This window comes from Homo sapiens, chromosome 16 (assembly GCF_000001405.40).
Source record: "Homo sapiens chromosome 16, GRCh38.p14 Primary Assembly".
In the NCBI taxonomy this organism is placed as follows: domain Eukaryota; kingdom Metazoa; phylum Chordata; class Mammalia; order Primates; family Hominidae; genus Homo; species Homo sapiens.
This window is the reverse complement of record NC_000016.10, coordinates 12,530,739-12,541,096: the sequence shown is the minus strand read 5'-3', so window position 1 is coordinate 12,541,096 and position 10,358 is coordinate 12,530,739. Positions and strand designations below refer to the sequence as shown.

General features: G+C 49.1%; 1 protein-coding gene and 1 long non-coding RNA gene across 10 annotated transcripts in view; one reads left to right on the top strand and one right to left on the bottom strand.

Annotated features, from left to right (window-relative positions):
- Positions 1–10,180, top strand: part of SNX29-AS3 (SNX29 antisense RNA 3) — an 80,226-nt gene extending 70,046 nt beyond the window's left edge. The window contains exon 3 of the long non-coding RNA XR_007064990.1: positions 6,662–10,180. This is a non-coding gene — a long non-coding RNA (SNX29 antisense RNA 3). The remainder of the gene's footprint in view (positions 1–6,661) is intronic.
- Positions 1–10,358, bottom strand: part of SNX29 (sorting nexin 29) — a 597,554-nt gene that overhangs the window by 33,191 nt on the left and 554,005 nt on the right. The gene's annotated exons all lie outside the window — the stretch shown is intronic.

Below are 10,358 nucleotides of genomic sequence, written 5' to 3'. Positions count from 1 at the left end.
GGAGTGGATGCATGAGGCAGCTAGTCAATAACTCAGGAAACTAAATAGCAGCCAGACTACAGAGATGACCAGTTGTTGCTGTCCCAGGAAACCCGCAGTGAGCTCACCATTTTTCCCCTGTAGCATCCTCCAGCCTGAACTACAGGCAGCCTGACCCCAAAAGTGGGCAGGGGGTGAACAGACAGGGCTGTCAGAGAAGCCCTCCAGCTCTGGGTCCAGAAGTGGAAAAGGGCACTCCTGCTCAGAAAGGGTGGAGGCGATCTTGTTTCTTTTTGCCCCTTCTCTCATGCCTCAGCCTTGAGCAGTCCTCAAGCACCTGACACTCTAGGGGAGGTGGCGGTAAGATCAATGGTGCCCCAAGGATGCCCAGCTCTTCATCCCTGGAGCGTCTTCATATGTGAGCTTCTACAACAAGAGGGACCAGCAGCTGTGGTTACATTCAGGCTTTTGAGATGGGGAGATGATCCTGGACTCTTTAGGTCCACCCCATGGAATCTCAGGGTCCCAGAGTAATTGCTGGGAAGCAAAGAAGGGGCCATGGCATAGGGTGGCTGCCAGGAAGCCGCGAAACAAATTCTGCCCCACAACCTCGAGAAGGCGCCAGCCCTGCCGACACCTTGACTGTAGCCTAGTAAGACGGATCTCGGACTTCTGGCCTCCACAGCAGCTGGAGAATAAATCTGTAGTTTTTAGCCACTAACTTTGTGCCAATTTGGTAGGGCAACAATAAGAAATTAATACAGGGGATAACGTTCCTCTTTAATCATAAGAGCTGTGGTCCCAAGAGGGTGGGGCCACCCCGTAATGCCTCTAGTCCTGTCCTCCCTCCACTTGACCTTACGCTGGGGGTGGGGGGAGCGGGTCAGCCACAGGAAGTAGGTTAACCTTGACCCAATCCTTGGACCTGACACAAAAGTCCACTCAAAATGAATCGCAGATCTAAAATGTAAAGCTATAAAACTTTGAGGAAAACCTAGGAGAAAATCTTTATGACCTGGGTTTAGGCTAACAATTGGTAGACATGACACCAAAAGCATGATCTGGGACACAAAAAGTAAATTTCATCAAAATTAAAAAGGTGTCATGCAAAAGACACTGAAAAGAAGCTGAAGACTAGAAGAAAATATGTGCAACTCACATGTTCGACAAAGGTCTTGCATCTAACATATACAAAGAACTCCCAAAACTCAAATCTTTGTAAAACCACAAACAGCCTAGTTTCTAAGAACAGGCAAAATACTTGGACACTTACTTACTTCCCCAAAGAGGATGTGTTAAAGGAAAACATCCACATGAAAATATGCTCAACATCATTACTCATTAGGAAAATGCAAATTAAGACCATGATGAAATATTCTGCATCCTTGTGAACAGCCACAGTAAAGAATCATGACAGTATGACATGCTGCCCAGGGTGCAGAGCAACTGGGCCCCTCATACGCTGTGGGAATGCAGTTTCTTACATTTAGCATAGGATCCAGTCCTCAACTCTTAGGTATTTGCCGCACAGAAATGAAAACTTTTGTTCACACAAAAAGCTGCACTTGAATGTTTCCACTAGCTCTATTCAAAATTGCCAACAACTGGAACCAACGCAACTTTATTCCTTTATGACTAGATAAACCGTGGTATATCCATTTAACCAAACTCTGCTCAGTAATAAAAACACTGCTGACTCACCCAACGACTTGACGGTTCTCACACATGCTGAAAGACGCCAGCCTCAAGAGGTTGCTTACAGTATGATTCCATTTATGTGACATTCTTGAAAAGACAAAACTAGAGGGGGAGGGACAAGGGCTTAGAGGTGGGGGAGGGTGCAGCTAGAAAGGAAATGAGGGGAAAACAGCTTTTTAGGGTGAAGGAACTGGTCTATATCTTGACGGTGATGGTGGTTACTCAAATCTATGCATGTGTTTAAATTCACAGACATGAACAAGAGCAAAAGTCAATTGCACTGTGTAAATTAAAAATTTTTTGTGAAAGTAAAGGCAAGTAGGACTCTGGGCAATCTATTAAACTTGGCCCTATCCCAGAATACACAGTGATGTCTTTCTGGGCCCCATTCTGGATTCATGGATGGTTTTGGCTCGAATTACTGGTCTGTTCTATCTTCTCCCTATTTATATCACTTGCCTTAGCATTTCACAGCACTGCTACATGCCCACAGCCACCCTTTCTCCCACTTAGAACAGGTCATTAATCTGTGCAAGTGTACAAATGGCCCCATCTACCGTTCTCTGTGCCCCTCTTTGCCACGTGACTTTGCAGTGCCCTCCCACTGACTCTGGTTTCTGCCTTGTAATCCCCCTTGGCGATGTGACATGCTCACAGCTTGGATGATACCCATATGGGTGTGCTTCTCCTGTCTGTGCTCCCTGATGTACATGCCCAGGCTCGCCCACTGGTCCTGGGAGGAGGATGAAAGATCTGTGGATCTTTCTGTTTCACAGCCCAGTTTTTCCATTCTTCCTAGTCAAGGCCCTCCTGCATCCACCTACTGATTCCCAGACACAGAAGCCAGCTCAGCTAAGACCAGTTAAGCCTCCTAGCCCATCACCTCACGCATAAGCAATATGTTATCACATACCAACAAAGTATCATAGATGTATGTTACACAGCATCAACATAGGAGATACGTGATAACCAAACCAAGTAACCATTCTCAGTTATTACTCCCAGACATCATTTTAAAAGTGCAAGGGGAGGCCGGGCGCGGTGGCTCACGCCTGTAATGTCAGCACTTTGGAAGACCGAGACCATCCTGGCTAACATGGTGAAACCCCCTCTCTACTAAAAAACAAAAATACAAAATTAGCCAGGTGTGGTGGCAGATCCCTGTAATCCCAGCTACTAGGGAGACTGAGGCACAAGAATGGCATGAACCCAGAACACAGAGCTTGCGGTGAGCCTAGATCACACCACTGCACTCTATTCTGGGTGACAGAGTGAGACTCCGTCTCAAAAATAAAAAAATGCAAGGGGAAATGCAGAAAGCTGTGAATTTGCTTAGCCCACTGAGAAGAAAGCTGTCACCAAGATCGATTATACTTTAGCAGGACAGGACGATTTTGGTCTATAAATGGCAGACAATTTTTTTTTTTTTTTTTTTGAAACGGAGTTTTGCTCTATTGCCCAGGCTGGAGTGCAGTGGCACGATCTCAGCTCACTGCAACCTCTGCCTCCTGGGTTCCAGTGACTCTCCTGCCTTAGCGTCCCAAAAAGCTGGGACTATAAGCGTGAGCCACCATGCCCAGCCAGACAACTTCTTATATGCTGTGGACACACCTCTCTGATATAGGAGATATTTTATTACTTTTTTTTGTTTAAACAAACCCCACATAGGATAGAGGTCATTGTGCCAAAAATACCTACTCTGCTTCCCTTTTTCCAAAGTGAAGTTTCAGATGCTCCAATGTTTAAAAAAGACATGAAGTAGGGCAAACAACTGTAATAATATCTAAGCTGCCAACTCAATCATTTTGGGACTGAAGTGAGAGTTTGAACAAAGAAGTAAAAACAAAGTCAAAATTGCTTCCCTTCGAGAAGCTCCATAGTAGGTAATATTTCCTTTAATCCTCCCAACAAGCCTGTGAAATCTCTGCCACTATCACCAATTTTATAGATGAGGATGCTGAGGCAGAGGTGAAGTTCACAAGGCTGCTATGTAGTTGAGCTGGAATTTGAGCCCAGGTCTGTTTGGCTCAAAGTCTTGCTCTTTCTGTCATGCACCAAGTTGCCAATGAGCTCCTGTAGGAATTTACTAACAGAGCTTTGGCTTAGCCACTATACTAAAATCCAAACATGTACCACACTAACCAGTTTCCTGAGGTGAAAAGAAGGTACATTATTTTGGGTGTGCCTGGCACCTTGCAGTCTGGTCTCTAAGCTCAGCAATTTAGGGGCTGGCCAGGGGGATGGCATCTTTATGCTAACAAGATCCCAGAGTCCCAGCCTCTGAGATCCATTTCACCAACAGCTGGGAGGAAAGGGACTGACCGTGGGTGGAGATACATGGATAAATCTACATCGTCTCCTAAATATGCTCAGTGAATGTGCTTGCTGTGTGCTCCCCCGGCCCCCATGCCCTGAACAACTCTTTTTATTTTATTTTTTTAAGACGGGTTCTCTCTCACTCTGTCGCCTAGGCTGGAGTGCAGTGCTGTGATCTCGGCTCACTGCAACCTCCACCTCCCGGGCTCAAGCGATTATCTTGCCTCAGCCTCCCAAGTAGCTACAATTACAGGTGTGCACCACCATGCCTGGCTAATTTTTGCAGTTTTAATAGAGATGGGGTTTTACCATGTTGGCCAGGCTGGTCTGAAACTCCTGGCCTCCTGATCCGCCTGCCTTGACCTCCCAAAGTGTTGAGATTACAGGCGTGAGCCACCACGTCCAGCCCCCTGAACACCTCTTAATACCAGCTCTTCCCTGGATCTAAGGAACCCAGAAATTAGCTGTATACACCCCTGCTGCAGCCACAGCCAAACTAGTTAGTGCGTTCTCTGTGCTAGGTGTGAACTCTGCAACTTTCTGAGGTAGGGGCTATAATTAGTCCCATTTTACAGAGGGGAAAATAGAGGCATGAAGTCCCTAAAGGTTCTAATCCAGGATCACTGATAAAGTAAACGGCATAGCCTTGAGTCAAACCCAAGCCTGCACAACTGCCGCCCTCCTTACTGATGAGGCCATTCTGCTTGTACCTTTAATGTGAAAGTCATAAACAAGCTTTACCCCCAACCCTGACAGTACGGCTTGTTTCCTGCTGCATTAGTAATTTCTCAACCTGTCTTCCCAGAACGAGCTAGTGAGAAAAACATCCTCAACTCTGTCACAGCAAGTTCTCATGCATAAAAAAGAAAAAAACATGAAATCCTGTTCTTACTCAGCAAGCCGTAACCTCCTTTATCTTCTGAGTGATGTGTGCTAAGCCAGGAGATTCTGCGCTCACAGGCGAGTGCCAGCACCAAAGCTGGGCTGTGTTCACCCTTCTCTCTGGTCCAGGCAAAACATCCTGGGTGTGTTAGATGAATGAAGACAAAGGGCTCAGCTCATGGGCAATCAAATTAGGAACGGGATAGCTCCGAGTGCGTGTCGAACAGGTATCAAAGACCCCTTTTCTCAGCCGGGGTCAAAGCTCTCAGAAGTTCCTTAACCCTCCCCAGCCCCATTTTCTAGCCCTTTCTTCAATTAACCTCAAAGAAGGGGAGATGGGTAGGACCTTGGACAGCACCAATAGGGCTCCCATGGCCGATCTAAGCACTGAGAGGCCAAAGTGGCGGCAAGGCTTACACAGTGGCTGCGGCCTCTATACTCTGAGGACCTCCAGAGGAGACACACAGTGGTGGAAGACGAGCGTGACCAAGCCTGGCTTTGTTTACAAGGGGCACAGAGGACCCACAGTTACAATGCAGGACCTGGAAAGCCCCAGCCCTGAAGATATTCAAGACTGCTCTGTAAGTGCTTCATGTTGGTGTGACTGACAGTGACAAAGGGTAGAGGCTTGCCAATCGTGCATACCCAGCTCACACTCCCCATGCTGCCACGTCCCAGCTGTGAGACTATGGCTTGGCCACTTCACTCTGTGAGACTCAGTTTCCTCATCTGGAAAAAAGGGACAGTAACACTAACCTCAAAGAAAGGATGTGTTAATAAATGAAAAGCTGGCCAGGCGCAGTGGCTCATGTAATCCCAGCACTTTGGGAGGCCGAGATGGGTGAATCACTTGAGGCCAGGAGTTCGAGACCAGCCTGGCCAACACGAAACCTCATCTCTACTAAAAATACAAAAATTAGCTGGGCATGGTGGCACATGCCTGTAATCCCAGCTACTTGGGAGGCTGAAGCACAAAAGTCGCTTGAGCCCAGGAGGCAGAGGTTGCAGTGAGCTGAAATCACACCACTGCACTCCAGCCTTGGTGACAGAGTGAGACTCTGTCTCAAAGAAATGAAAAGCTCCTGGCCTAATACCTGGACCCTGGCGGGTGCTAAATACATGTTGGTTTCTCCTCCCTCTCTCTTTTTCTTGACTGTGGAGTCCCAGTGCTTTGTAGCTGGTTTTATAAGACCCAACGAGCCAGCTTCTCAGGCCAGGTCTGGGCTTCTCAACCTTCACACTAATGACGTTCAGGTCAGATAACTCTGCTGTGCAGGGAGGAGGCCATCCTGTGAGGTGTAGGATGCTCAGTACATCCCTTGCCTCTACCCACTAGATTCTCGTGGCACTGTCCCCCATGGTTGGGACAATCAAAAATGTCTGCATTCACTCCCAGCTGTGCCTGGAACTGGGGAGTAAGGCAAAATTGCCCTTAGTTAAAAACCAGAGGGGTAGACGCAGAAAGAAAGCCACTTGGGTTTAGTAGGGCAAGGGGCAGTGAGTGACAGGGGAGTGGCAACGCCAAGAAAAGCAGAATCAAAGATCCTCCGACAGCCCGTCTGCAGGGAACTCCTTCAGGTGAATTTTACCCATGAATGGAATTTGCTTTTTGAATTTAACAGGTGACAATACCAGACTTCTTTTTCAACCCTAATAACCTGTGACCAATTTCCCTGAACTGACACAACTGCCCTCCAAAGACCCACTTTTCTTGCTGAGCTGCTAAAAGCAAAACAAACCCCGAAAACAAAAACCAAAGCCTCCCTAATCTGCGTTCTTTCTACAGGCAACCGAGTGCAGCCGCTGGCTACACAGAGGACAAGAAGCAAAAGAAGCTGCCACAGAGAAGGTGTGAGAGGTGCAGGAAACCTCTCCAAAGACCAGGACATTTGGCTGGGCACAGAGGCCCTCATTAGGAGCACGTCTCCCACACGGAGAAAGACGGCAGGTGTGCCGGCGGTGCTTGGGCACTGAGCAGACATCTCTAGCCCGACGATTACTCCAATGGACCCTTTCTCATGGAGCCCACACTCTTATGAAGACCTCAGTCAGAACCGCAGAGGCCGCGCTGCCCTGAGGCCTGGTGTTGGAGCTGTCCTGGTTAGCACCTTGTCATCGCGATCCCCTGGGGTCAAGTGGGATCCCCTGCTGCCCTCACTCTGCACTGCTTCACATGTTAAACAGACTTATGCACCAAAGTCCCCTTTTGCCCTGGAAGGCTTTTAAGGTACAGTGGACCCCATGTGGCCCACAGATGTTTTAAGCAAACAAAGGAGTTTCCAACCAACTTAAACATCAGATTTTATATGAAGATGTGCATTTCTGCCACGTCTTGAAAAGGTCAAGGACTTCTATCCAGCTAGCTGCAGTCCTATATAACAGGAATCAGCCTGGTGAGGAGTGGCTGATCCCTTTTGATGGGGCCTATGAGCTGCACTCCACACCACTCCCTGCTGACAACTCAATGGCTTAATTCACTTATATGACCCACCCAGACCTACAGGCACCTGAGTTTGCCAAGGCATCCAGTCGACAGAGGTAAATTTGGGGTGCCTATTGATGCTGGAAGATCACAGAACCAAGGCCCCAATTTGGGGTGTCAGTCCAGGTAGCGGGGTGTCTCCTCCCTCCAAATAATATACCTGGTTGATAATGACGAGGCTAAGAAAGTAAGAAATGAGGACAAAAGGCTGCAGTGGCTGACGGGCTGCTCTCTGATGTGACAAGTCTGTCCAGGAACCCCACTGCTGGGGATGGGGGTGGGGAGGTGCAACATTAGTGTCTCACCTCCTGTGGGGTGGAAATATGCATCAACACATCACAAAAGGGGCGAAAGACTCCATGACCTCAAACAGCCTCTTAGCATCTAAGCTATCCCAGGACCCACAGGGCCACAGGTACCAGCCCACGAACAGTGACTAGGGCTGACTTTCCAGGAAGCTGCTACGGATTCTGCAAAGCACTCCACAGGAGAATCAGCTGCCCTTTGGGCAAAACAGCAGCAAAGTGTCCTCTGTGGCCTCAGATGGCTGCTGGTTCCAGAATCCAGTTTGTTCAGAGAGAGGCCCTGCCTGGCAAAGGCGGCCGTGTTTCTAAGCAGAGCTGTCGAGTTGAACCTGTCCCTCCCCGGAGGTGTGATGTGGGCTGTGGCTTGCAAAGGCACCATCGTTTCCCCTTCCTGCCCTTGATGACTTGTTGGTGGCACTCTCCCCACAGACGAGGGGCTCAGGGATGCCACCACAGCCGTGCTGCGCCACCCGCTCCCTGGGTCCGCAGCCAACTTGGCAGCAGAGGAGGACGGCCTGCTGTTCTTAACGCTCTGGGGCTAGGTGTTGATTCTGCAGCTCTCTCACGCAGGGGAAGGCTTCTCTGGGAGACACTGGCTCCCCTCGCTAGGCTGACCAGGCTGTCTTCAGCTTTCGCACCTCCTCCTGCCTCTGCCCCATGGACTCCAGGCTCCTGCCCTGTCCCCAGCTTCCATCCAAGGCCAACACCTCTTCCTGCCCTCTCTTTCCCTGGGCACCTGACCCTGACTTCGTAACCTCTGTGATCCCCCATATGTCAGCCAATTCCACGTTTTATATCAGGAAATCGCATCCCAAAGAGTGTTTCCAAATACCTCAGACAGACTGGGATTTCAGATGGTGAAGTCAGAATTCCTGCAAGTTCTTAGGAATTCTCCAAATCATAAGTTATTCTTAAACTATTACTAACATCCTTCCCACTACTTATCCATTATCATAGACATCTAAAACTGTTTGCTTAATAATATTGAGCTTAGTAGGATTTACAAAACACGACAGCCTAGAATGAATATACAAACGCTGGGAAACACAAGTGAACGCTGCTGGGAGCTGCTGAAAGAACCACACAACACAGGCACCTGCTAGCAAGGCTCATGACGCTACAGAGTCTGGTGTCCAGAATGCCAATTTAAGGACTTATTGTGCTTCCAAAACTTTTTACTTCTTGGAATGCCACTCACAGAAAGTACACAATTTACATAAACATATTAGTATTTATTTGCAAGAATGATTCATTGTTTGCAGTAGACAGAGCCAGGAACACACAGTTACAGCATGGCATCAGTGCAAGGCAATCCTGACTAATGAGATCGTGACCACGTCTCTCCCACATGTTCCTGTCCTGGTTCCTGTAAACGGCGACCCAGACCTGCAGCTCCATGTGGTGACACCTCCTGCTCCTGCCTCTCCTCTGTCGCTGTGGATTCCTCCAAACTGTGATTGCTACATCTTAATTTTCAGCAGGACGGTTATAACACACTCTCCGACCTCTTGACTGGTTTTTCTTGTGACGTGAGAGGGGAGAAGACATACATTTCCTGAGGCATGCCTGGGAGAAACTGCTACCTGAAGGCAGCTCACAGGCGGCCATCCTAGAAGACGTTCACTCTGCCCTCGCCTGGCTCTGGGCCTGCCTTCAGGATGCACGTAGACCAGTTTCTGACCCCAATGCTTCCTTTTCATCTCATCTGCTCCCAAGCGGGCTTCCCCTCCTTGTCCCCTTGACCTCTCTGCACCCAGATATTCAGCCTCAAAACTCGGCATCTTCTGCTGCTCCCCTTCCATTGCCCCAGCAGGCAGCCTAGTCACCTACTCAACTCTCACCGTCCTCATCCCAGAGAATGGCAATGCCGCTGCTGCCCCCTTGCCATGAGGACCACGGGGCAGATGGTGCTGCACACCTGAGACAGTGGGGCCCCACGTCCCCTCTTGGTAGGGCCTTCCAAACCCATGTCCCCCTTTCCTCTTGGCCATCTGGGTCAGGCCCTCCCTGCCTTCTGTCTGCAACATTTTGAGGGCACCCTAGCCCATCGCCCAATCCATCCACTATACCCAGTCCTGGCGTGCTCTTCGGAAAGCACAGCCCTGAGTTCACACACCTGCCAGGGCTCCAGCCCCCAGAGACCAAGACTTCCACCCCAGGTCCCAGTGCGCCCTGACCATAGGGCCAAGTGCCCTGTTCTCCAGGCACAGGGGATGACTTGGGGCTCCCTGCTTCTTGCAGCTGTTCTGCACACCTGGGAAGAGTGGCTTCCCCTTCGATCCAGATCAAACCCTGCATATCAAATTGGTATGAGAGGGTGGGCTTTAGTGATGTCAGGAAAAATTTAAAATGCACATACCCTCTAAGCCAGAATGGCTTCTACACATCAAGCCTGTAGCTCTACCTGCCAAAATGTGTATCCATCGAGATGTTCCAGACTACAGTCTGGGGGAGAAAAATCTGGAAACCTCTTAACTGTTCAAGTAGAGCAAGGGTGAAATAAATTATGAAACAGCCATTACGGTGGATACTATTACCTTTCAGAAGGACTGAGCCAGTTTTATTAAATTAAGAAAGGTGGCCAGGCACGGTGGCTCACGCCTGTAATCCCAGCACTTTGGGAGGCCAAGGCGGGTGGATCACTGGAGGTCAGGAGTTTGAGACACTCCTGGCCAACATGAAGAAACCCCGTCTCT